This window comes from Homo sapiens, chromosome 13, assembly GCF_000001405.40.
Source record: "Homo sapiens chromosome 13, GRCh38.p14 Primary Assembly".
Taxonomy (NCBI): domain Eukaryota; kingdom Metazoa; phylum Chordata; class Mammalia; order Primates; family Hominidae; genus Homo; species Homo sapiens.
The window spans coordinates 99177076-99203306 of record NC_000013.11 but is presented as its reverse complement, the minus strand read 5'-3'; the positions used below and the strand labels follow the sequence as shown (position 1 = coordinate 99203306).

Below are 26231 nucleotides of genomic sequence, written 5' to 3'. Positions count from 1 at the left end.
CCCAGCACTTTTGGAGGCCGAGGCGGGAGGACCACTTGAGGTCAGGAGCTCAAGACCAGCCTGGTCAACATGGCAAAACCCCGTCTCTACTAAAAATACAAAAATAGCCAGGTGTGATGGTGGGCACCTGTAATCCCAGCTACTTGGGAGGCTGAGGCGGGAGAATCGCTTGAACTCGGGAGGCGGAGGTTGCAGTGAGCGGAGATCCACCACTGCACTCCAGCCTGGGCAACAGTGAGACTCCATCTCAATAAATAAATAAATAAATAAATAAATAAATAAAATAAAACAAAGGAAATCACTTCTCCCTCAGTGGGTAGCTTCTCCAGAGAAAAATGTTAAAGCTGACACACAGCCTTTTCTAATGACCAGTCCTGGAAAACTGTGCCTAAGCTCCGTCAGCACTGTAAGCACTGAGACCAGGACCTGTTCGTTGCTGCATTCCCAGCACCTAGCCCAGTTCATCGCCCAGAGGAGATGCCCAAAATGTTTGTAAAATGAGCATGTAAGACACAGCCTTCTGAGGAACGGCCATCCCAACAACTCTTACACTGCAGAAGCACTTAATTTTAGAAACAGGCCAAGACAGCTGCAGAGGGGCTCCAGACCTACGCCTCTCCCTGGGCAACAGTTTGGTTCCTAGAATTCAACACTCACCACCATGTGCCATAGATAACAAAATATTATCTTCCCCACAGTTGCCCTGTATCAAATTTGAATACACTTGGCCAATATAATCTCATGGCTAATACAGTACAGCAACCAATAAGATTTCTCTTGCCCTTTATTTTTTTATATGTACTTTGGCCAGCAAGGATAGATCAAAATGCTAAAGAACAATTGAAATTGAAGAATTCCACCATTAATTTCATAACCAGTAGTTCCTGGCTCACTGTGTGATCCCAGGAAAACCACATTGCCTTCTTGAACTGTCAGCTTCAGCTACAGTCCTAATGCTCTTTATCTAAAGGGTAGTTTGGGGAAGATTACTTAGTAGTTGTAACATACTCCGGGACCAATCCATGAAAGATGCCATAAATCAAATTAATTATGAAACAAAGGAAATCATAAATATTGAAACCACTTCAAAACCTGAGAAGTTGAGAAGTGAGGAAGATTTAAAATTATGCCTGTGGCGCTGATACTAACTCACTGTCAGACTATAAGACGAGACACACATTCTCAGAAGATTCATGACATTCCCAACAGATCTTTTTTTTTTTTTTTTTTTTTTGAGATGGAGTCTCGCTTTGTCGCCCAGGCCAAAGTGCAGTGGCGCAATCTCGGCTCGCTGCAAGCTCCGCCTCCCGGGTTCACGCCATTCTCCTGCCTCAGCCTCCCGAGTAGCTGGGAATACAGGCACCCGCCACCACGCCCAGCTAATTTTTTGTGTTTTTAGTAGAGAGACGGGGTTTCACCGTGTTAGCCAGGATGGTCTCGATCTCCTGACCTCGTGATCCGCCCACCTCGGCCTCCCAAAGTGCTGGGATTACAGGCGTGAGCCACCGCGCCCGGCCAACAGATCTTTAATATTTGGAAATGTCAGATGTTTCTGTCCTCCAGCAGCATTAACTTCACATGGAGTATGAACAGTGACAAGCAATTGCAAAATTAGAGCTGTTCTCCGTTGCTGTACCCGTGCCTAACTGTTAACACGCAGTCTACCTTACCGAAAGTCAATTCCACACACTCAGTGAGAAAAGCCGTTTAACTGGCTGTAAAAATACTCCGCCCCCTACCTGCTGACCACCGCTAACACGCCAGGAAAACAGCAACATCCAGCAGCACAGCTGCGCTCCCTCGCCACGACTTCCTAACTTCCCTCCACTTGAAAGCACTCTCATCAGTGTGTGTTTGTCTAAAAACTCTTCTTGGAGACTGAAGAAGAAACACATCCAAGTGAAACTGAGAGGTCAGCTTCTAAAGCGGAGGCTGAACTTTGCAAGTGGGGGCGGGGGGAGTTAGTTCGGTCCCCCAAGCCTAAAAGAATGGGGCATGGTAAGGGGGACGGCCCCTTCCTTCAGCGCGGCACACGCTCCGCAAAGGGCCTGGGGCCGGCCCACGAGAACACCAGGGCACCTGCCCACTTGCAGCGGCCCCAAGAGACTCCTGGGCAGAGCACCTGGGGATACCAGGTGGGGTCGGGGCGGGCGGCGGGGCTTTGTCCCCATTCGCCCCTCCAGGCCGAAATGGGGGCGGTTTCCGCTGACCCCCAAGACCGGGAACTAGCAGGGTTCGGACGCGGGTCTGGAGGGTCGGCCCCACCACCTCCGGCAAACCCGAGGGTCCCCGCTGCCCCAGCCTCCTCAAAGAGGTGCCTAGGGTGGCGTGTAGGGGGCAGCCAGGATGGCGGAGGCCGGTACTCACAGAGCCCACTGGAGCCGGTGCTGGTGAACATGGTCCCGCCGGGCTCGGAGCCCCAGAGGGCGCCGGGGGAGGGGAAGCTGAAGTGCGAGCCCCAGCGACCGCGCAGGCGCACTCTTGGCGGAGCGACGAATCCGGCGCCGCGAGGCCACTCGCCGCTGACGAACGGCGCACCCGGCGCATGCGCAGTCAGGGGCGTGCGCCCGCTGGGTCAGCGCCCTCCTTCCTGCCGGGGAAGGGAAGTGCGTCGGTAGGGGAGGGCTCACCTCTCCAGGTTGAAACGATGGCGGTCAGAACCGCCTGAGGTAAAAACGGGTGGCACTGGGGAAGCGGAGGCGTAGCTCCCGAGAGCCTCACACTTGTGCTCAGTGCCGCCTCACCCCTGGTGGATCCGCGATGGCCGCGGATTCCCCTGGATTGCCGGCGCTGGGCAGGAGCGCCACTTCTAATCTCTCCCGAGACTGGACGCCCGGCGCCTTCCACGCGCGTTGTGTCTTTCCGGGCGGTCCCTCGAAGCTGGCTACCCCGCGGGCTGTTGACTGCAGTGGGATCTGGTCACTCAGATGCGGATAGAGGGGTACGGGAGCCGGAGAGGTGGAACAGGTCCTTCCGGGTGCGGAGAGCTGGGCCGTCCAGCCGCCTCTTTGTTCCCGCGTGGGTCCCGCGCGGAATCCCCACCACCGGGGCCGACTGTCGTGGTCCCTGGAGTCAGCACCCTGCCCTCCCCGCCGTGGTGGCGGGTGGCTGGGGGGTCCCCGGCCCGGCGAGCCCGGCGGAGCGACCCTGCGCTTCTGCCCTGGCGAGCTTCCGGACTCAGGCCATTTAAATTTTTTTCCCCAGCAGAATGAAGTTACTCTTTGCCAAAGTCACGGTTTTTAAATGTGTGAGCCTGAAAACATATCATGCAGTCGTTTTAAAAAGTTTTTTTTTAAGTTGATCTCGTGAAAGTAGGGAGTAAAAGAGTGGTTATTCTTGTACAGAGGAGAGTTAGTGGGGAGGAAGATGGGGAGAGGTTGGTCAACAGACACAAAGTTATAGTTAGAAGGAATAAGTTTTGGTATTCTCTTGCACGTTTGGATGACTATACTCAACGATAATGTTAACTTCAAAATAGCTAGAAGAGAGGATTTTGAATATTCTCACCACAAAGAAATGACAAGTGTTTTGGTGATGGATGTGCTAATTACCCTGATTAGATGGTTGCACAATGTGTATATGTATGGAACCATCACACTGTACCCCAGAAATACATGCAATTATGTGAGAACGCATGTTATGGGGAAAATTGACCACACTACCCAGCTAAATGAAAGGGATAGGCTATGGAGTACTAAAAAAAAAAAAGCATTTTCAGTGCTCATAAGTGCCAGCCAGTGTGCTAAATCTGTGATTCGTAGATCAACACAGTCCCTACCCTCAAAGAGAGGTTCCAGTGGGCCAAAATGTTAACACTGATTATAGAAGGCAAAAGTATGACTTTTATTTGCTTCTTTAGGCTTTATTCGTAAAGTTCATTTTCACAGTCTTGTTTTGTTCGTTTGTTTTGAGACGGAGTCTCGCTCTCCCCAGCTGGAGTGCAGTGGCGCGATCTCGGCTCACTGATACCTCTGCCTCCCCGGTTCAAGCGATTCTCCTGCCTCAGCCTCCCAAGTAGCTGGGACTACAGGCACCTGACACCACCCTGGCTATTTTTTGTATTTTTAGTAGAGATGAGGTTTCACCATGTTGGTCAGGCTGGTCTCGAACTCCTGACCTCGTGATCCGCCCGCCTTGGCCTCCCAAAGTGTTGGGATTACAGGCGTGAGCCTCTGGGCCCAGCCCATTTTCACAGTCTTGAAGTACATTTTACATTTACCTTTAGGTTCGTTCGAGTTATTTTTCAGGAAAACGACAGTCAAAAGGTCCTTTATGTTTGCAGAAGCTGTTGATGGACTACACCCTGACCCATTAAGGGGATGCAAAGTCCAAAACTATTTTCATAATAATGCTAAGACATTAGTTTTATTTTCTACTCTCTCAAGTATATAGTGGAGTTTTCCATTGTACAATTGGACAACTGTACAGAGCTACGTAACTGGATTTTCCACTGTACAGAGCTACATAACTGGATTTTCCAGTTGACCGATGCATAATGTTATGAAATCTTATGTGGGTAAAAGATTAATTTGAACCATAAAATACACCAGTAAACTTTAGTGTAACAGTCCAAAATGTTCATTCATATGGTTTCAGATTCCTCACTGCAATTAACCTTTAAGAAACTACCACTTGCTAAGTTATCGTATAGTATCAAAAAATAATGTATCACCTGAAAGGCTATTAAAATGCTTCCTTTTCCAACCGTGGGGGTGTATCTAGGTGAAGCCAGGTTTTCCTCATATGCTTCAACCAAAGCAATGTATCCCAACAAACTGAAAGCAGAAGCATATATGAGGACCCAGCTGTTTTCTATTGAACCAGACATTAAAGACATTTGCCCGCCAGACACAGTGGCTTAGGCCTGTAATTCCAGCACTTTGGGAGGCTGAGGCAGACGGTTCACTTGAGGTCAAGAGTTTGAGACCAGCCTAGCCAACGTGGCGAAACCCTGTCTCTACAAAAAGTACAAAAAATAGCTGGGTGTGGTGGTGCACACCTGAAGTTCCAGCTTCTCAGGAAGCTGAAGCATGAGAATCGCTTGAACCCAAAGGCAGAGGTTGCAGTGAGCCAAGGTTGTGCCACTGCACTCCAACCTGGGGGACAGAGAGAGACCCCATCTCAAAATAAATAAATAAATACATACATACATACATACATACGTGCATGCATTTGCCAAAATGTTAAACCGTGCTATTCTTCCAATATTTTTTTGCTTGGGACAGTATAGTAATTTTGCATTAAAAAGTGTTAGATATGTTAATATGTAATGGGTATTTTTTTTAATGAACTTCATATATATCTTTTACATTTCTCAGTTTCAATTTCTACTATGGTAAATACTCATAGGTATAAACCCACATAAACTAAAGATCTGTAGTTCTTAATAATTTCTAAGAATAAAGGGATTCCAAAAAGTTTGAGAACCGACATTAAAAAGTGCTTTAAAGCTTAAAAAACATAAACCCTTCACTTACGTTCAATTCTATAAACATTCTTTGCAGCTAAATGCAAGATGGTATGGCATCCAGACTCTGCTCATAAGTATCTGCAGTGATCCATACCTTGATTGTACATCTACTCTGCATCCTGAGGACCTGAACATGCTAACTGGTGGCTGCAGATTTGTCTTCTAAGGAGCAAGTGTGGTCTGTGGACAGGCAGCTTCAGCCTCACCTGGGATTTTGTTTGCACTAGAAAGTGCCAAGCCCTACCCTAGACCTATTAAAGCAGAACTGGCGTTTAACAAGACACCCCAGGTAATTTGTGTGCACCTTAGAGTCTGAGATGCACTAGTGTAGTGATTCGCAGGGGGACAATTTTGACCTCCAGGGGACAATATCTGGAGACATTTTTGGGTGTCACAACGTGCTGGGGAGAGGGTGCTACTGGCATCTAATGGGCTGAGGCCAAGGGTGCTGCTAAACATCTGGCAATACCGGGCCAACCTCCCCCCTCCTCCTGCCCACAGTAAAGAATTACCCCGCCTGGATTGTCAGTAGTGCAGAGGTAGAGGAAACCCTACACCTGTGAAACTCATCTGACCTTTACTATGAATTCCTGGATCTCCTGGTGCATATCATTTCTGTTGCCCTGGCTGACATTTCCACCTTTTCTCTTTTCTAGATTTTATTACAAGAACTCAATCTGTTGGTCTCTAGGAATCACCTATTGCCTTGCTATGTTTTGTTGAACCTGTTTTTGAATCTGCTTTCTACATTGGGGAAATAGGTATACGTTTGTAAACCTTAAAAGCTCTGTATGCTATAAGGAAATCACCAGACACGTGGATAAGCTTTGCAGAGGTGAAGGGCTGTCTCCACCAGAGAGACCCAGAAGGAGTCAGGGTAAGCCTGACTCATCATGAGATCAGGTATCCCCAATCCACAGCGGACTTCCACAGTTCACCTTCCTAGGTAACCGCTCTGCCTTCCCAGGTAAAGTAGGAATAATATCAGAACTTACAGCATATTTTGAGGTCAAATTGTAGAATTTGGTGATTTCATTTTTATTATTACTCAACCTTTTATTTACAACCAAATTAATAAGGCTACTTACACATAACAATGTGTGGACATACACATTAAGAGAATCATTTGCTGCCTAGCACTCCTACCTAGGTACTTTAAGAACATCATTGAGTGGATACTCCCTCTGCTGGGTAAAATACTTTGCCACAATATCAGCTGAAATGATACCTCTTCCAGACTGTAATGGCAGAAGTAGTTATCCCCTCTTTCGTGCTGTCATCACACTTGATGCATGCCTACTTTATAATACTTATGCCATTGTCTCTGTTATTGGGTTTCTGTCTTCTACTGTGAAAGGGTGAGCCCATAAAAAACAGGGAATGTGTCTTTCAAAATGTTGTATCCTGCTCATTCTGATGTGAAGCCATTGTCCTCCTTCAATAAAATAAAACAGCATTTCTGAGGTCTTAGCATCAGGAAAATCTCCAGGTGGGTAAGGTTAAAGAAAAAATTATTCATGACACTTGTTCAGTGTGGTGCAATAGTCTCTTCTCACACTGCTATAAATACCCAAGACTGGGTAATTTTTTTATTGATTTATTTTTTAATTAATTTTTTTTTTTTTTTTGAGACGGAGTCTGGCTCTGTTGCCCAGGCTGGAGTGCAGTGGCGCAATCTCGGCTCACTGCAAGCTTCGCCTCCCAGGTTCACGCCATTCTCCTGCCTCAGCCTCCCAAGTAGCTGGGACTACAGGCGCCTGCCATCACGCTCGGCTAATTCTTTTTTGTATTTTTTAGTAGAGACGGGGTTTCACCATGTTAGCCAGGATGGTCTCGATCTCCTGACCTCGTGATCCACCCGCCTCAGCCTCCCAAAGTGCTGGGATTACAGGTGTGAGCCACCGCGCCCGGCCTATTTTTCATTTTTTTGAGATGGAGTCTCACTCTTGTTGCCCAGGCTGGAGTACACTGGCGCTATCTCGGCTCACTGCAACCTCCGCCTTCCGGGTTCAAGTGATTCTCCTGCCTCAGCCTCCCTAGTAACTGGGATTACAGGCGCCCGCCACCACATCTGGCTAATTTTGTATTTTTTGTAGAGACAGGGTTTCACTATTTTGACCAGGCTGGTCTCGAACTCCTGACCTCAGGTGATCCACCCGCCTCGGCCCCCCAAAGTGCTGGGATTACAGGTGTGAGCCACCACACCCGGCCAAGACTGAGTAATTTATAAAGGAAAGAGTTTTAATTGACTCACAGTTCCACATGGCTGCGGAGGCCTGAGGAAACTTACGACCATGGCAGAAAGGGAAGCAAACACGTCCTTCACAAGGTGTCAGGAGAGAGAAGTGCCGAGTGAAGGGGGAAGAGCCCCTTGTAAAACCATCAGATCTCATGAGAACTCACTATCATGGGAACAGCATGGTTGTTCCCATGCTCCAGTCACCTCCCACCAGGTCTCTCCCTAGACACCTCGGGATTACACTTCAAGATGAGATTTGGGTGAGGACACAGCCAAACCATATCAGATGGTAAAGCAGACTTTATTCCAGGGGGCCATGGTGATAGGTAGAGGGGCACTGCAGGGCTTTGCAGTGGGGAGAAATTGAACTCAGCACCAACTCTACCAAGGACAGGTGGGGATTTATAATCAAGGAGCAGGGTGGAAAGCAGCGCATGGAAAATTACTAAGAGGAAGCCCCAAGGATAAGGGGGTTTCTGTCTAAACAGACCTGATAGGATTCCTGCTGAAGGCAGGCCAGGGAGATCAGATAACAAGGGTGGTCAACCAAGAGTAGAGGCTTTTCACTAGACCCACTTAGCAGGATTCTTGCTCACACTGGGCTCTGCAAGGACAGAGAGAAAAGTCCAAGATTGGGCCTAGTCAAGCAGAGGACTCAGAGAAGCCTGACTGGAGTTTTGGTCAAAGGAGAGAGTCTTTTTCAGGCAGGAGGGAAGATGGTTGGCCAAGCATCCCGAACAACCACCTTCCCCTTGCTTTCACCTGCCTTTAGTACAGTGCTCCTTCTGAATAGCTGAGATAGACTGAAATTCTTCCTAAAAATTACTAAGTAGTGGAGAAGGCCGAAAACAACAAACAATCACAAACTTCCAAAGTATCGAGCTGTGTACAAACGGTATCTCCTGTCCCCCCAGCATAGAGGTGATATCCTGTTCCACTTTGTGGCTGAGAAATCCATCTCCGAATCTCCAGAGATTCTCGGCAGCAGCCTTCTGGGAAATCAGTAGATAATCACTAGGGTTGGTGGTCAATCCTTGGATAAAATAGGCTTCAGATGCACTTTGCACTGCTTCAAATCCACTTTCAACATATAATACATATAAACTAATACTAGAAAACAGGGCTGGGCACAGTGGCTAACACCTGTAATCCCACAATTTTGGAGGCTGAGGTAGGAGGATCCCTTGAGGCCAGGAGTTTGAGACCAGCCTGGGAAACCATAGGAAGGCCTCACCTCTACAGATAAAAAATTTCAAAAACTGGCCAGGCATGGTTGTGTGCACCTGTAGTCTCAGCTACTTGGGTGGCTGAGGCAGGAGGATTGCTTGAGCCCAGGAATTCAAAGCTGCAGTGAGCCATAATCACACCACTGCACTCCAACCTGGGCATAGAGTGAGACCCCCTTCTCTAAGAAAAAGATAAAAAAGAAAGAAAGTGGGTCTGGAATCTTTGAAAAGAGTAGTTAAATCTTTTCAATGATCCAGTAGTTTTCACTTTGGATGTTTACTCAGCAGGGAGTAGTTTGGAAATTCATAGGGTATTTTTGGTTGTCGACAATGAATTGGGAGATATCACATGAGGTCCAATAGTGGCAGACAATGCTGCACAAAAACCAGATTGTTCTCGATTCTAACCACCTTTGACTATCTTGCCACATGCTTATTATGTGGGTGAAAAGCCTGTTTGTATTCTTTCAGGTCTGGAGCCTATTCCATTTTACATGTTGCTCTGGTCTGAATGCTTGTGTCCCTCAGAATGCATATGTTGAAAGGGAACCCACAGTACAGTGGTGCTGGTAGGTGGGTCATCTGGAAGGTGATTAGGTCATGAGGACAGAGCTCTCATGAACAGGATCAGTGCCCTTATAAAAGAGGCCTGAGGGCACTTGTTCTGCGCTCCCACCATGTGAAGGCACAGCTGGAAACAGAGCCAGCCCTCACCAGACACCGACTTTGCTGGTGCCTTGATCTTGGACTTCCCAGCCTCCAGAACTGTGGGATATATACATATATATATTTAGACAGGGTCTCGCTCCGTCACCTAGGCTGGAATGCAGGGGCATGATCATGGTTCACTGCAGCCCGACCTGCTGGGCTCAAGCAATCCTCATGCCTCAGCCTCCCAAGTAGCTGGGACTACAGGGTGCATGCTCCCACACCTAGCTAATTATCTTATTTGTTGTAGAGACAGGGTCTCACTATTTTGCCCACGCTGGTCTCAAACTCCTGAGCTTAGTGATCCTCCTGCTGAGGCCCCCCAGAGTGCTGGGATTAAAGGCTGGGACTACAGGCGTGAGTCACCGTGCCCAGCTTTGCCCTCCTTTAAAATGGGAGCTGTGTTATTTATTATAGTATTTCCAGCTGCATATTTGGGTGAAAAGGATTTCAGTGCAGTGGAACAATTACTGCAAAGTAACAAAATGTAACAGAACATTTGAGACACTTTAAAAGAATTAGAACTTCATTAAACTTCATCACTCAGATTCTTAAAAATATTTCATATTATTGCCATCTGTTTCAATTTGGGTCTCTCCAAAAGCAGACTCTGAGACAAAAGTTTCAGATACAAGTAGGAGATTCTCCTGGGGGTTATAAGCCCCTGGGCACTTTCAGCCTGCTCTATGCATGGGCCAAGCACACCCCTGTATCCAGAGAAAGCCCTCAGGCAGAGAGACATGGGTGCTTATATGAGAATTGCCACTGAAGTGCTAGGTACTACTTCCAGGGTGGGCAAAGAGAATGCAGTTGGGACACCAGTAGCATCTCCTACAGGTGAAAAGAAGGCAGTAAGCCTGAATTTCCTAATCTCCCTATTCTCCTACCTCTAGTCCCAGGCAAGACATTTTTGTTACCATGTAAACATCAGAGTGTATTTACACAAACCTGGAGGGTGTAGCCTACCACACACCTAGGCTATATGATATAACCCATTGCTTCCAGGCCATAAACCTGTACAACATGGGCCTGTACTGAATGCTGTAGGCAATTGTAACACAATGGTAAGTATGTGTGTATCTAAACACAGAAAAGGTGCAGTAAAAATATGATATAAAAGATTAAAAATGGTCCACCTGCAGAGGGCAGGTGCCTTGCTATGTTTTGTTGAATCTGTTTTTGAATCTGCTTTCTACATTGGGGAAATAGCCCATCACCGTCCATCACCATGGATGGAGCTTGCAGGACTGGAAGTTGCTCTGGGTGAGTAGGCGAGTGATTGGTGAGTGAATGTGAAGGCTTAGGATGTTACTGTGCAGAAGTGTAGACTTTACAAACACTGGACACTTAGCCTGGCTGCCCTCCCCCTCCGCCACGCTCTGTGGTTTGCTGACACGCCTGTCACCGGGTGTGTGACCGGTTGCACCTTTCCCAGGTTGTGGGTGCAGCCTCAGCTTTTACAGAGGCTCCTTCTAGTGGAAAGAAGGAAATGAGGCTGCCTAATCTCCTTATCCTCTTACCCCTGGACCCCACCCTTCTCCTTCCCCTCTACCCCTCCCCCTAGCATGGCCAAGGGATTGCCAAAAGTGTTGTAAGACAAATTATGTTCCAGGAGAGTCTCAGAAAGTCTGCTGGCAGAGTCTGCCCTATATTGCTACAATGATATCATCTATTTGTAGAAGCTGGGGTTGGTTAAGATGTTAAAGTGAGATCATTGCGCTGATCTGCCAAATGTTTATATCCTTCTGCCTGCTAGGGATGGAGTATTTGTTTAGAAGGGAATTTATTCAGTAATGAGTACCCCCACCAGTGTCCAAAAAGACACAACATAATAACCTCTTGGGTTTTCTGAGCCAGCAGGTTTAGGAGGGTTTGCCCTGTGCAAACACAACAGGGAGACAGAGTGAGACTCAGGTGGACCCTGCACGAGGAAACTTGACTCCAAGGAGGGAGGAATGTGCCCAGGAATGGTGGAATCCTGACACTAATTTTAAATAGTTCTGATGTCCACGTGTCCATCTGGGTGGGTTTCCTTTAATAAACCACTCCCTTTGTGCGCCATCCATTCTTCCAACTAAAACCTGCCCACTGTTGGGTGCAGCCCTGATCCCTGGTACAGAGGATCTTCAGTTTTAGTCCCTTGCAGCTGCTCTGTGCAATGGCCTTAACCAAATCTGCTCCATCAGCCACAAAACCAAAACATCTGCTCAATATCCTCTTGATTCCTTTATTCATCTATTTGAAGTGAATTTTGCAAACACCTTTCAGCCTTTTCTACTCCAGACTAAATATTTCTGTAACTTTCCAACCCTTTGGTCATTCTAATGTTTTTGAATCCTCCCCAATTTTCCATATTATCTTTACATCATGGAGTTTAAATGGTATGTGAGACTCTACCCCTAAAATAGAGGTATAGCATTCATTGATCATGAACTTTTTGTGATGACAACTTACAGGGTCTGGCCCCTGACTGCAGACTTCTAATGGAAAGGAAAAGAGACTCTAACACAATCTGCTAATTAACCCACAGGTTGGATTGAGAAGGAAAAAAATCCACCTGAATTCTTAAGATAAAATGTATCATTTAAATAATTATTCTGGGTCTCTGCTTCTCCTGTTTGACAAGACAGCCGCATCTTCTTGAGCAGTGCCAGCTGTGTCCCTGAGACAACATGGTGAAGGTGAAGGCCAGAAAAAACAGATTTGGCCATATTGGGGGCCTGGTCACCAGGGATGCCAACTCTGGCAAAGTGGATATTGTCACTATCAATGACCTCAACTACATGGTCTCCATGTTCCAGTATGATTCCGCTCATGGCAAGTTCCACGGCACCATCAAGGCTGAGAACGGGAAGCCTGCCATCAATGACAATCCCATCACCATCTCGCAGGAGTGAGATCCCACCCAAATCAAGTGGGGTCATGCCAGCACTGATTATATTGTGGCGGCCACCAGCATCTTTGCCAGCATGGAGAAGGCTGGGGATCACCTAGATGGGGGAGCCAAAAGGGTCATCATCACTGCCCCCTCTGCTGATGGCCCCATGTGTGTGATGAGTGAAAGCTATGAGAAGTACTGCCTGCAGTAAGAGCTTGCTACTATTAATATCATCATTTTAGTAATCATACTCTGAATCTTGGCAAAAAAGAAAAGACGGTTCTGAAAATCAAGTCTGTCTGTTTCTGCCAGAATACTCATGAGACAGTTTGTTCCTAAAGCAGCAATTAGGAGTAAAGAACCAGAACAGTGTGATCATCCAAAAAGTCAGCTTCTGGCTTAGCTCCATCAGGATCCCAATTCTCTACGGAGTCGAGGTACTCTCCATGGCGTTCCCAGGGGGTGATAAAACAGAGGGGAAGAAGTCATTCTCCCACCTTCTTCCTTCCGCATACACCTATGGCCTGATCATCACTGCAGCACCCCTCACTGCCCTGAGGTCCAAATGGGGGTGCAGCACCCCTCACTGCCCTGAGGTCCAAATGGGAGCTGGCGCACTCAGATGCCCACAGGCGCCATCGAGGAGGGAAGCAGGCTGGTGCAAACGATCAACACATGAACTTCGCTTTCATGCTCGTCACCTAGTGATAGTCTCCACCTACACAACTAAAGGTGTGCCGTCTCCCAGATTCTAGAAACACAGCCTCCCTTGACTTTTTTTGAGACAGAGTCTCACTCTGTCACCCAGGCTGGTGTGCAGTGGCACGATCTCAGCTCACTGCAACCTCTGCCCCCTGGGTTCAAGCAATTGTCCTGCCTCACCCTCCCTAGTAGCTGGGATTACAGGCATGCGCTACTATGCCTGGCTAATTTTTGTATTTTGGGTAGAGACGGGGTTTCACCATGTTAGTCAGGCTGGTCTAAAACTCCTGACCTCAAGTGATCCGCCCACCTCAGCCTCCCAATGTGCTGGGATTACAGGCATGAGCCACTGTGCCCGGCCCAGGCTCACTTGATTTACCTTGCATTTTTCCACTTTTGACGGTGACACAGATACAGAGAACAGGTTTGTTCAACACTTTAACAATACAGACATGGTCATGACAGTCCCTAAGTGTTAGGAGCAACGGGGAAGAATGCAGGCTGTGCTAAACTGACGGGCACATAACTGCCCCTGGAGGTGAGCCACACCAGAGCCTTATGCTGGAACACAGGGAATGGAAGGCTGTAGAAAGGCAGCCCAGAGTGTGGACTGTGCTGAAGAACCTCCCAATTCTTCAGTGCTGGCTCCTGTGGATACATACATAGGGCAATCAAAACAATGCCATGGGAAGGCCTGCAGCAGACGGATAGGCACACATCCACTCTGTAAGCAACAATTCTTTTCTTTTTCTTTTCCTTTTTTTTTTTTTTTTTGTGACAGAGGCTCACTCTGTTGCCAGGCTGGAGTGGTGCAGTGGTGTAATCTCGTCTCACTGCAGCCTCCCACTCCCAGATTCAAGTAATTCTCCTATCTCAGCCTCCTGAGTAGCTGGGACTACAGGCATGTGCCACCACGCCCAGCTAATTTTTGTATTTTTAGTAGAGACGGGGTTTCACCATGTTGGCCAGGATGGTCTTGATCTTTTGACCTTGTGATCTGCCTGGCTCGGTCTCCAGAAGTGCTGGGATTACAGGCATGAGCCACCGCGCCCAGCCAGCAACAATTCTTTCTAACTTAACTCTGTGCAGAGTGTGCAGAGATTCTTTTTTTTTTTTTTTTTTTTTTTTGAGATGGAGTTTGGCTCTTGTCCAGGCTGGAGTGCAATGGCGTGATCTCAGCTCACTGCAACCTCTGCCTCCCGGGTTCAAGTGTTTCTCCTGCCTCAGCCTTCCGAGTAGCTGGTATTACAGGCGTGCGCCACCACGCCCACCTAATTTTTGTAATTTTAGTAGAGACAGGGTTCCACCATGTTGGTCAGGCTGATCTCGAACTCCTGACCTCAGGCAATCCACCCGCCTCAGCTTCTCAAAGTGCTGGGATTACAGGCGTGAGCCACGGCACCCAGCTGAGATTCTTAAAATGGTGTTCAAACTTTAGGGTGTGCAAGAACCTTCGGAGACACTTGTTTAAAGTGCAGTCCTGGGGCTCATTACCTGAGATTCTGAAGCGGAGGCCCAGGAGTCTACTTTAAAAAAATTTTTCTTTTTTTTTTTTTTTTTTTTGAGATGGAGTTTTGCTCTTGTTGCCCAGGCTGGAGTGCAATGGCGCGATCTTGGCTCACCACAACCTTTGCCTCCTGGGTTCAAGTGATTCTCCTGCCTCAGCCTCCCGACTAGCTGGGATTACAGGCATGCGCCACCATGCTCGGCTAATTTTGTATTTTTAGTAGAGACAGGGTTTCTCCATGTTGGTCAGGCTGGTCTTGAACTCCCGACCTCATGTGATCCACCCACCTCAGCCTCACAAAGTGCTAGGATTAGAGGCATGAGCCACCACACCCGGCTAAAAAAATTTTTTTAATAGGTAATAGGCTTTACTTTTAAAGCAGTTTTAGATTCACAGAAAAATTGAAGAGACAGTTTGAAGATTTTTCCATAAACCCCATACTAAGTTTCCCCTTTTATTAACATCTTACATTAGTATGGTATATTTGTGACAATTAAGGAATCAGTATTGATCTATTATTATTATTATTATTATTATTTTTAGAAAGAATGTTGCTCTGTGGCCCAGGCTGGTGTGAGGTGGCGTGATCTTGGCTCACTGCAACCTCCGCCTCCCGGGTTCAAGCGATTCTCCTGCCTCAGCCTCCTGAGTAGCTGGGATAACAGGTGTGTGCCACCATGCCCGGCTAATTTTTGTATTTTTAGTACAGAGAGGGTTCCACCATGTTGGTCAGGCTGGTCTCGAACTCTTGACCTCATGATCTGCCCACCTCGGCCTCCCAAAGTGCTGGGATTACAGGCGCGAGCCACTGCACCTGGCCACCAGCCTCCTATTCTATTCAAAGTCACTCCTCTGCTCACTGAGATAGATGCATATCTGAGTTGCCTCCTTTGGAAAGGCTCATCAGAAACTCTAAAGAACGTACCGTTTGTGTATCACCCATCTGTGACCTGGGAGCTCCGTCCCCTCTTTGAGTATTCCTGCCTTCGCTTCAAGTTGTCCCGCCTTTACAGATGGAACCAATGTACTTCTTACATATATCAGTTGATGCCTCATGTCTCCCTAAGTGTATAAAACTAAGCTGTGCCTTGACCACCTTGGGCACATGTCGTTAGGACTCCCTGAGGCTGTGTCACAGGGGCTTCCTCAACGTTGGCAAAATAAACTTTCTAAGTTAACTGAGACCTGTCTCAGATTTTATGGGTTCACATTATGGTAACCACGAGGGGATTCTGAGTGGAGGTGCCCCTGACCTTTGACAAATCTATTGGTTCTTGGTAGCAGCATGAGCTAACTTTATGGCTCAAGCCAATAGGACAATTTGCTGAGGTTTGAGAGCACCCCCTCCAGAGAATCCCTGATCTCTTAAAATTTGGTCAAGATCTAAAGTTTATTTTGCTGTACAACTCCTCTTTTTTTTTTTTTTTATTTTTAGTTTTACTTGCTTCTAATAGGAAGGCAAGTTTTTCTGCTTCCATGATGATAGAAGGCAGGTAACTCCTTTATGTAGTTTGAGCTCGCTTCCAACAGGGAAGATGAGTTTTTTTTTTTCCTGCTCCTAGGATGGCAGAGAGTAGTCTACAGCCTGAGACCCATCACTAGGTAAGAAACTGGTTTGAGGCCGGGCACGGTGGCTCAAGCCTGGAATCCTAGCACTTTGGGAGGCCGACATGGGCGGATCACGAGGTCAGGAGTTCGAGACCATCCTGGCCAACATGGTGAAACCCTGTCTCTACTAAAAATACAAAAAAATTAGCAGGGCGTGGTGGTGGGCGCCTGTAGTCCTAGCTACTCGGGAGGCTGAGGCAGGAGAATGGCATGAACCCGGGAGGCAGAGCTTGCAGTGAGCCGAGATGGTGCCACTGCACTCCAGCCTGGGGGACAGAGCCAGACTGTCTCAAAAAAAAAAAAAAAAAAAGAAAAAAAGAAACTGGTTTGAGATTGTCTTGCAATTTCCTTTTAAAAGACTAAAGTTAGCACTTAACAACCAGCTGGTGTTAATTTCTGCTTTCACAAAGAACACTCAGAAATTATATAATTTGTGTGATCAATGTTAGTTTAGCAGCATTTTGTCCTAGCTGAAATATGGTAATAAGATTAAAAAAATTTTTGTAAAGGAACTCAATGGTTAAAAGTCAGCTTAATTAAAAGGCTAACATCCAACATGTGTGTGTGTGCATGTGTGCATGTTTGTATTTAAAAGGCCTTCATGTTTTTGGGTTTTTTTGTTTGTTTTTGTCTCCTAAGACATTGTCTTTTTTTTGAGCAAAAGTTTTTTTTTTCTTTTTCTTCTTATTTGACTGAATTTTGTTTTCATCTGATTTTTTTTTTTTTAACTAAAATAGTTATTGTATCAGAGGCTGCTCTTGGGTTTTTAAGGAACAGTGTAGTTTAATTTTTTTTTGAAACGGAGTCTCACTCTTTCCTAGACTGGAGTGCAGTGGCATGATCTCGGCTCATTGCAACCTCTACCTCCTGGGTTCAAGCGATTCTTCTGCCCAGCCTCCTGAGTAGCTGGGACTACAGGCGCGCACCACCACGCCCAGCTAATTTTTGTATTTTTAGTAGAGATGACGTTTCACCATATTGGCCAGGCTGTTCTCAAACTCCTGACTTTGTGATCCACCCGCCTCGGCTTCCCAAAGTGCTGGGATTATAGGCGTGAGCCACCGTGCCCGGCCCTAATTTTTATGTTTAACTTGGGTCAAAGAAAAATAAAAGTGCCTCTCTCTAGCATCACCAGACTTTTTCTCTTTGTACTTTATGATGTAAATTTTGCTATTTGCTTTTCACCTGAGTTGTTTCCTTTAATGTGCAAATTTAAGGTTATTTAGCTAACAACTGCCTAGGGCTGTGAAAGAGGTTATCAAGAATTTGAAAGTCTAAGGTAGGAAAGAAAGCGGTGGGGGGGGGGGGGGACTTTATAAATCTATAAAATGTACTTCCATCGGCATGCCTAATATGTTTTTATATGTATTTATGTGTTGTGTACAGAATGTTTCACTACTAAAAATATATAAGAGAGCTCTAATTAATTGGCTTTTAAAAAAGCGCTTGAATTAGATACTAAAAAAGAAAAAACTAGTCAAATTGTTTTTCAGGTTTATGTAACTTAAGTAAAATCTTTAATAAATACGCTAGCTTTAAAATTATTGGTAAAGTAATATTAGAAATGTCTTAAGAATTGCCCAGCATACATTTTTGTTTGCATTTATTAATCAAGCAATTTTATACTTATCCCTGCCAAATTTGGCATAGGGGTTACAAAACTATAAACCCCGCCCAAAACAGAATGATCTTTGCTTGTGTAATTTTTAATGAAGAAGACATTGATATGAGTTTAATGAAAATAGCTTTATCTTGAATTTAGTAAGATTACCATAACTTCTAATCCTGTGGCTTTAGGCAGTCTGATCTGCAGACAATAAGGAGGGTTGTTTTGGGGAAAGGACTGTTACCCTCTTTGTTTCAAAGCTAAACTATAAACTAAGTTCCTCCCAAAGTTAGTTCGGCCTACGCCCAGGAATGAACAAGGACAGCTTGGAGGTTAAGAGCAATATGGAATCAGTGAGGTCAAATCTTTTCACTGTCTCAGTTATAATTTTGCAATGGCGATTTCATAACTTTAAATCATGACTATCACAGTTTTCATAAATAATCTAGGTAAACAAATAAAACACTTAGATAAATGTAATGGAATAAATACTTGTAGATAAACTGATCATAATTTATAATATAAAGTTATATTAAATTAAATAATAGCTATTTCATTATTTGGGTATTTTCCAATAAATATATATTGTGGGAAAACATTCTTGCTAAATAAAAAAGTGTGTCCTTTAAAAAAAAAAAAAGTGAACAAGTTTTGTCTAATTCAAAGCTTATTTAAAGGTTATATATAAAACAAGGTGAAAGGCACCAGGAATAAAAAGAGATGTAAAGAAAGTTATAAAAATAAGGAGGTTTTCTTTTTTGAGGTAAAAAAGCTTAAAGAGAAATAATTTTATATAAGAAAGAATCTTGTATGGTAAATTTAGTCCTAAAATAAAATAACTGGTTATCTAAAAAGGAGGGATGTTGAGAACAAATCAGAAAGTCTGATCATGTCATTAACAGTCAGTGTAAGTCACAATAAGAGGATTTATATTAAAAAGAAAAACAAAAACTTTTATATAATCAAGTTATCATGTTATTATTAAGTTTTGGTTTGCTTAGGAAAAAAACAGAGATAAAATTTTTTTTTAATTAAGGTTATTACATGCATGTATCTTCCTGTATGTACATTGTTACATTGAGTTTCAAGGCTGTAACTCCTGGGTCTAAAAAGGACACCAAGTCCTGCTAAATCTTAAACATTGACAGCAATAAAAGCCTCATCTTCAGGCCCCATAGAAGATGCCAATCAAAACAAATTGCATTCCTGAGACACAGGGCAAGAAATTAAAGCTATTCAACTCCTCAGGGCCCAGGGACTATCACAGAAGAGGTGGGCGCCTAAGATTGTAAGGGCTGATTTTGAAAGATAAAATAAGTTCTGTTTCTCTATAAATTAATTATTAATGTCAAGGGCACACTAATGCAAAACCAGTACATGGACTCCTGTGTCAGATTAGCAAGGTTTTCTTGAAGCATTAACCAACTTCTTAATAAAGTTTATAAAAGGCTTACAGAAGTTATATTTTATAATCAAGGTTAAATCTTGTAGATTGCTTACAAAATTCGAAAAACAAATGTAATTTGCTTCATGCTGTTTTTATTAGAGCTTCTCCTTTAGAAAATTAAATCTCCTCACCGGGCTTGGTGGCTCACGCCTGTAATCCCAGCACTTTGGGAGGCCGAGGCGGGTGGATCACAAGGTCAGGAGATCGAGACCATCCTGGCTAACATGGTGAAACCCCATCTCTACTAAAAATACAAAAACTAGCTGGGCATGGTGGCATGCGCCTGTAGTCCCAACTCAGGAGGCTGAGGCAGGAGAATGGCGTGAACCCAGGAGGTGGAGCTTGCAGTGAGCTGAGGTTATGCCACTGCACTCCAGCCTGGGTGACAGAGCGAGACTCTGTCTCAAAAAAAAAAAAAAAAGAAAAAGAAAAGAAAATTAGATCTCCTCTCTCAAAGAATGAAGGTTTTTGCTTTTTCTGAAATGCTTGAATTATCACTTTGGTTAAATAAATGACCTCACAATGACCTGTAATCCTATTTTGTAATACCAAGTGTTTTAAACCCTTTATATTTGACAAACTTTCCAAAATCAAATTATAAATTATGTCTTTTTCTAACCTAATTAATCCTTTAAGAAATGAGTTTCCCTAAGTCCAAAAATGACAAAATTTGGCTTATTTTGGTATAAAAATTATACAGGAAGTGTCAAATATGAAATGGTGTTTGGTTTTCTTTGGGCTGTATTTGTATAAATATGTTACTGGTATGTGTTCCAAAATTATGGGAAACTCCTGTATTTCTGATATAACTTAGTGTACATTATCAGTAATAGTCATAAGTGTTGTTAAAATTATTGTGTGTCACAGAGGTAACACATTTCCTTGTCAATTGTGTCTTTTAACTGTGGCTGCCTTAAAACTTTTTTCATCCACAGACAATTCTCTTGTTTATCTTGTTTTAAACCCCTTTAAAAGGTGGGTTTATAATCAGTTATAGGACTCTAACAGGTGCACTTAAATGCAGTTTTGCTGATAACTTTGGAAACTGTGACATTGGAATAAAGGAATAAACTTTCAGAACTCTCATGGAGAGCTGAAATGTTTATGACTATCAAACAGAACAGGAGTTAACTGAATTAACTGAACCAATAGAAAACTAATCTTTTTGACCTTTTTGCTTAAAACATTGCTAATACTTTGTTTTGTTTTTTAGAATTATGAAAACTAAAGCTATTTACAGCTTTTAACAATTGAGTAAAGTATACTGTTACCAGAATTGGGAGCATATTTGTTTCTCTCTACCTGGTTTCTCCAGAATTTGGAAACTATTTGTGAGTATTCTTAATTTATGGCAGTATAGTTATTTGCATAAGTGCCATAAGAATCTGTTTTCTTTTGCAATAGGACACAATTGGAGAAATTGGTTATTTTACTAAGGCTTTGACTGGGATGGTGTGCTTTCCTTTAAGGAATCGACTTGTGGAGCTAATAAAGCCCTTGGAAAAACTGGCCTCATATTTTGTGTACACAGTCCCTGTACAGGTTTTCTGACCTGTGTAAGTACAGAATTCACTTTCTGACAGGCACAGAAGCCCCAGGTTTATGTTGGGACCTCAAGAGAAGGGGAAATTCACCCAACTCATAGATATTTGATGGCACAAATCTATGGCTGGGCTTCGCTTTTAAAATGTCTTATCTGCTATTCCTCCTATGGAACAAAGTTCCATCAAAGCCAATTTGAAAGCCTATGTAAAAGATAATTATTCTTGCTGCACTGTATACAAATAATTAGGCCAAGTATAATAAAGCAAGCCAGTCCCACCATGTTTTGTCTTTAGTAAAAATGGGAAACTGGAGAGAGAATAATTATGTTTCAAAACTACAGTAGACCTGTTGTTAGATTCTAGTCTGCCTAATGTTTTTTTCAATTTGTATTATTTTCTACAGTTTAGACTGAATTCTAATTTTTCTTGGCTACAAGTCCATAAAATAATGTTTTCAATTTCTTTTCCTTCTTTTTTTCCATTTTTCCTAATTTAGAGTCACTGAAAACTAAGCTGTGTTTTCTTAAAACCCTGCAAACTGAAGCCAGACAACTTGAACTTCAGAAGAAAATAACAGCAACCTATTTACGTACATAAGCCACTTTCATACCTGCCTACTAATGTATGGACTTCAGAGTAATGTGGCTTATATCGATTTTTCTAGGATTGTTCTTTTGTTTGTTGTTGTTTTTTCTCCCTTCCTCCCTGCTATTTTCTCTTCACAGAATGTGAGACTTCACAACCTACTAAAAATGAGCTTTTGGGACTTACCCATCTAGGAATAAACCATCATAGCTATGAGAAATCAGATGAAGCCTGAGACCAGAGACTCATTTTTTTGCAAAATGCTTTCTCCGACAGATTTTACAAAAGAAAAGTGGTGGGGGGCAGGCACAGTGGCTCACACCTGTAATCCCAGCACTTTGGGAGGCCGAGGTGGGTGGATTACCTGAGGTCAGGAGTTTAAGACCAACCTGACCAACATGGTGAAACCCCGTCTCTATGAAAAATACAAAAATTAGCCAGGCATGGTGGTGGGCACCTGTAGTCCCAGCTACTCGGGAGGCTGAGACAAGAGAATTGCTTGAACCCAAGAGGCGGAGGTTGCAGTGAGCTGAGATCACGCCACTTCAGTCCAGCCTGGGCGATGGAACAAGACTCCATCTCAAAAAAAAAAAAAAAAAGGTCAGAAATGTGAAAGGAAAATCTCTTGGGCCCCTAAAATCACTAAGGAAAACTCAAGCTGGAAACTGCTTAGGGCAAACCTGCCTCCCATTCTATTCAAAGCCACTCCTCTGCTCACTGAGATAGATGCATATCTGATTTGCCTCCTTTGGAAAGGCTCATCAGAAACTCTAAAGAATGTAACCCTTTGTGTCTCACCTGTCTGTTACCTGAGTCTTCCTGCCTTTGCTTTAAGTTGCCCCGCCTTTCCAGACCAAACCAATGTACTTCTTACATATATTGATTGATGTCTCATGTCTCCCTAAATGTATAAAACTAAGCTGTCCTCCGACCACCTTGGGTACATGTCCTCAGGACTTCCTGAGGCTGCGTCATGGGTGTGTCCTCAACCTTGGCAAGATAAACTTTCTAAATTAACTGAGGCCTGTCTCAGATGTTCCAGGTTCACATGAGTAACTCCTCTGCATGTCTTCGGCATTCAACAGACACACACTGAATAGGAATTCCCTGCCTCCCTCCTGCGGGGCATGAAGCCAGATGCTAGGATTGCAGAGCTTTCATGGGTGGATGTGCATGGGACAAGTGTGAACACAGTTAGCAGGACAGAGCGGGAGAAGTATCCACCAATGGTTTGACCTGCCCTTAGTCACTTCTCCTGGAAATGACGGAGAGAAGCGTGTTAAGAATTGGGAGAGGGCTGGCCCCAGTGGCTCACGCCTGTAATCCCAGCACTTTGGGAGGCCAAGGTGGGTGGACTCTTTGAGCCCAGGAGTTTGAGACAAGCCTGGGCAACATGGTGAAACCCCCATTTCTACAAAAAATAAAAAAATCAGCTGGGCATGGTGGTGTGTGCCTGTGGTCCCAGCTACTCTGGAGGCTGAGGTGGGAGGATCACTTGAGCCCAGGTGGTGGAGAATGCAGTGAGCCATGATCACACCACTGCACTCCAGCCTGGGTGACTGGGTGACTGAGCAAGACCCTGTCTCTAAAAAAAATTGGGATAGGATATGAGCTCAGAGAGCTCAGAGCTGGGCTCCACAGGACATGGGAATGGGGTGGAGTCAAAAGGACCTGTGGAAGTTTTGGAATTGAAGAGGAAAAAAATGTTTTATCCTCTGAGGCTGACCAAAAGGAAATTGGCTGCAGAAATGTTTGTAGATTGTGGTGGGGGTAGGACGATGTTTGAGGTCACCTATAACAGCTTCAATTTTCTGGATGAAACGAAAGACCAGCTCATTCTTCCTAGAATGAGGGGTCTGGGGCTAAACCCAGGACCTGGCAAGGGCATTAGAGGTTTGAGATAGTGGCTAGGTGGCTGTCTTAGCCCATTTTGTGCTGCTATAAAACAGGATACCTGAGACTGGGTAATTTATAAAGATCAGAAATGCATTTCTCATTGTTAGGGAGGCTGGGAGGCCCAAGACAGAGGCACTGGCTTCTGGTGAGGGCTTTCTTGCTGTGTCCTCACTTGGCAGAAGAGTGGGAGAGAGTGAACCCCTTCCCACAAGCCCTTTGCATAGAGGCATCAATCCATTCATGGGGGTGGAGCCCACGTGACCTAAACACTTCCCAAAATGCCCCACCTCCCGACACTGTTGCATTGGGGATTAAGTTTCCAGCCCATGAATACGGGGGTACACATTCAGACCATAGCAGGATTACATCAGTTAGGGTTCCATCAGGGGACCAGCAGAAACACCAGTAATATGAAAAGAGAGAACTAAATACAAAGACTTGTTAACTACATATAATATTCACCAGGTAACTGAAGGTGTAAGGAATAAGTCTGAGATATCACAGAGGAAGCAGCTACCACCTCTCAGGCTGGGCAAACGGAGGGAAGCAGGTCCAATGATTAAAACCTTGAAACTTGGCCAAGTGTGGTGGCTCAGCCTGTAATCCCAGCACTCTGGGAGGCCGAGGTGGGGGATGATGGATCACTTGAGGTCAGGAGTTCGAGACCAGCCTGGCCAACATGGTGATACCTAATCTCTACTAAAAATACAAAAATTAGCAGGATGTGGCGGTGCATGCCTCTAATCCCAGCTACCTGGGAGGCTGAGGCAGGAGAATCGCTTGAATCTGGGAGGTGGAGGTTGCAGTGAGCCAAGATCATGCCACTGCACTCCAGCATGGGCAAAAAAAGTGAGACTCTGTCTCAAACAAAAACAAAAACAAAACCTTGAAACTTAGAGGAGTGGTCCCAGGGGACTGGGACCAGACCTCTGAGAAGGACGCGCTGGCCAGCTGGTGGCGGGCTGGGAGTGGTGAAACTGGCTCTGCTGGTGTTGCAAGCACTGGCATCTGGATTCAGCTGCTGCTGCAGAAAGCAGCTGCATTTGCTGGGTGGAGTGTCCCTGGGGTATTGCTCAAAGGGGCCCCAAGCAGCAAGGAGGTCACGAGCCCCTCCTTCTTCCTCAGCTTCCTGTAGCACCCCAAAATGGTAGAACCCAACTTGTGGTTTGCAGAGTCTCAGCCCAACATCACAAAGCCAAGCAGAGAAGCCTGGGTTTGGAGTGAGAGGCAATAACTTAGTAACTGTCATGGGGAACGCACAAAGCCATCCCTCACTGTATGAGTGACATTTAGGGACTGTGCAGGCACATGAGTCTGTATATTGGCTGAATTTCTTTCCTTTGCCTTCTGCAAATCATTTCGTATTCTCCTAGGCCCTTGCCATATTGGAGAAATATCAGAAAATCCTTAATGGGTCTCCTGGTTCAAAAGGAACTGACCAACGATTACAAGTGTCTATCAACAGATGAATAAATAAGCAAAATGCAGCAGAAACATACAATGGAATATTGGCCTTGAAAAGGAAGGAAATCCTGACCTGTGCTCTAACATGGAAGAACCTGGAAGATCATCTGCTAAGGGAAATACGCCAGTCTCAGAAGGACAAATACCGAGTGATTCCACTTATATGAGGTGCCCAGAATAGGCAGATGCCTGGAGAGGGGAAGGAGAGTGGTGGTTGCCAGGCCTGAAGGAGGAGGGAATGGGCAGTTGTTGTTCGGTGGGTCCAGAGCTTCAGTTCTGCAGGATGGAAAATGTTCCGCGGATGGTGGTGGTGGTGGCTGCACAACAGTGTGAATGCATTGAATGCGTGTGACTGCACACTGAGAAATGGCTAAGGCGGGACGTTTTACCTGATGTGGATTTGCCCACAGTCACATATTTTTAGAAAGGAACTAGGCTGGCTGCAGTTGCTCATGCCTGTAATCCCAGCACTTCGGGAGGCCAAGGCAGGTGGATCACTTGAGGTCCGGAGACAAGCCTGGCCAACATGGTGAAACCCTGTCTCTACTAAAAATACAAAAAATTAGTCGGGCATGGTGGTGCGTGCCTGTAGTTCCAGCTACTCAGGAGGCTGAGGCAGGAGAATCACTTGAACTTGGGAGGCAGAGATTGCAGTGAGCCAAGATTGCGCCACTGCACTCCAGCCTGGGTGACAGAGTGAGACTCCATCTCAAAAAAAAAAAAAAAAAAGAAAGAAGGAAAGAAAGAAAGAAGTAAGAGAAAAAGAAAAGAAAGAAAGAAAGAAAAAGAAAGAAAGAAAGAAAGAAAGAAAAAGAAAAAAGAAGAGAAGAGAAAAGAAAAGGAAAGAAAGGCAAGAAAAGGCCGGGCGCGGTGGCTCACGCCTGTAATCCCAGCACTTTGGGAGGCCGAGGCGGGCGGATCACGAGGTCAGGAGATCGAGACCATCCTGGTTAACACGGTGAAACCCCGTCTCTACTAAAAATACAAAAAACTAGCCGGGCGCGGTGGCGGGCGCCTGTAGTCCCAGCTACTCTGGGGCCTGAGGCAGGAGAATGGCGTGAACCCGGGAGGCAGAGCTTGCAGTGAGCCGAGATCGCGCCACTGCAGTCCGGCCTGGGTGAAAGAGCGAGAGTCTCAAAAAAAAAAAAAAAAAAAAAAAAGAAAGAAAGAAAAGGGAAGGGGGAAAGGGAAAGGGAAAAGGAAAGGAAAGAAAAGAAACTAGACAGAGGTTAGAGCTGGAGGACATGGGTGGGCGCCCTGAGCCTGATGTGTCACATGCCTTCATCCTCCCACCTTGGGTGAGCAGCATTTTCCAGGCTTTGCTTAGTGAGTTCTGATGTGCAACTGTCTT

General features: G+C 45.1%; 1 protein-coding gene, 1 long non-coding RNA gene and 1 pseudogene across 7 annotated transcripts in view, besides 9 other annotated features; 2 read left to right on the top strand and 1 right to left on the bottom strand.

Annotated features, from left to right (window-relative positions):
• Positions 1 to 2453, bottom strand: part of UBAC2 (UBA domain containing 2) — a 185651-nt gene extending 183198 nt beyond the window's left edge. For 2 of the 5 annotated variants that reach the window (NR_026644.2, NM_177967.4), the window contains exon 1: positions 1740 to 2453. Coding sequence is in view for 3 of the 5 variants with exons in the window: in NM_177967.4 (NP_808882.1) it covers positions 1740 to 1895 (156 nt within the window). In the remaining 2 variants the exon portion in view is untranslated. The remainder of the gene's footprint in view (positions 1 to 1739) is intronic. The other 3 variants (NM_001144072.2, XM_011521082.3, XM_011521083.3) reach the window with 2 other exon arrangements.
• Positions 870 to 1521: an enhancer, noted in NCBI's record as "H3K4me1 hESC enhancer chr13:99854040-99854691 (GRCh37/hg19 assembly coordinates)". NCBI's record gives its function as "activates a minimal SCP1, AML or CMV promoter by ChIP-STARR-seq in primed H9 embryonic stem cells {active_cell/tissue: H9 hESC(primed)}" and the evidence as "EXISTENCE:reporter gene assay evidence [ECO:0000049][PMID:30033119]".
• Positions 2095 to 2174: a silencer, noted in NCBI's record as "silent region_5469". NCBI's record gives its function as "represses an Ori minimal core promoter by ATAC-STARR-seq in GM12878 lymphoblastoid cells {active_cell/tissue: GM12878}" and the evidence as "EXISTENCE:reporter gene assay evidence [ECO:0000049][PMID:35858748]".
• Positions 2175 to 2826: an enhancer, noted in NCBI's record as "NANOG-H3K27ac-H3K4me1 hESC enhancer chr13:99852735-99853386 (GRCh37/hg19 assembly coordinates)". NCBI's record gives its function as "activates a minimal SCP1, AML or CMV promoter by ChIP-STARR-seq in naive and primed H9 embryonic stem cells {active_cell/tissue: H9 hESC(naive and primed)}" and the evidence as "EXISTENCE:reporter gene assay evidence [ECO:0000049][PMID:30033119]".
• Positions 2550 to 6933, top strand: UBAC2-AS1 (UBAC2 antisense RNA 1). Of its 2 annotated transcripts, none has more exons than NR_036531.1 (2): positions 2550 to 2941; positions 5505 to 6933. It is a non-coding gene; the product is annotated as a UBAC2 antisense RNA 1 (long non-coding RNA). The 2 variants fall into 2 exon arrangements; NR_036532.1 differs by having other exon boundaries at positions 2552 to 2669.
• Positions 2695 to 2784: an enhancer, noted in NCBI's record as "active region_7930". NCBI's record gives its function as "activates an Ori minimal core promoter by ATAC-STARR-seq in GM12878 lymphoblastoid cells {active_cell/tissue: GM12878}" and the evidence as "EXISTENCE:reporter gene assay evidence [ECO:0000049][PMID:35858748]".
• Positions 2815 to 2864: an enhancer, noted in NCBI's record as "active region_7929". NCBI's record gives its function as "activates an Ori minimal core promoter by ATAC-STARR-seq in GM12878 lymphoblastoid cells {active_cell/tissue: GM12878}" and the evidence as "EXISTENCE:reporter gene assay evidence [ECO:0000049][PMID:35858748]".
• Positions 2815 to 3480: a biological region, named in NCBI's record as "NANOG-H3K27ac-H3K4me1 hESC enhancer GRCh37_chr13:99852081-99852734".
• Positions 2827 to 3480: an enhancer, noted in NCBI's record as "NANOG-H3K27ac-H3K4me1 hESC enhancer chr13:99852081-99852734 (GRCh37/hg19 assembly coordinates)". NCBI's record gives its function as "activates a minimal SCP1, AML or CMV promoter by ChIP-STARR-seq in primed H9 embryonic stem cells {active_cell/tissue: H9 hESC(primed)}" and the evidence as "EXISTENCE:reporter gene assay evidence [ECO:0000049][PMID:30033119]".
• Positions 3065 to 3194: a silencer, noted in NCBI's record as "silent region_5468". NCBI's record gives its function as "represses an Ori minimal core promoter by ATAC-STARR-seq in GM12878 lymphoblastoid cells {active_cell/tissue: GM12878}" and the evidence as "EXISTENCE:reporter gene assay evidence [ECO:0000049][PMID:35858748]".
• Positions 12316 to 12728, top strand: GAPDHP22 (glyceraldehyde 3 phosphate dehydrogenase pseudogene 22; annotated as a pseudogene).
• Positions 21342 to 21854: an enhancer, noted in NCBI's record as "H3K27ac hESC enhancer chr13:99833707-99834219 (GRCh37/hg19 assembly coordinates)". NCBI's record gives its function as "activates a minimal SCP1, AML or CMV promoter by ChIP-STARR-seq in primed H9 embryonic stem cells {active_cell/tissue: H9 hESC(primed)}" and the evidence as "EXISTENCE:reporter gene assay evidence [ECO:0000049][PMID:30033119]".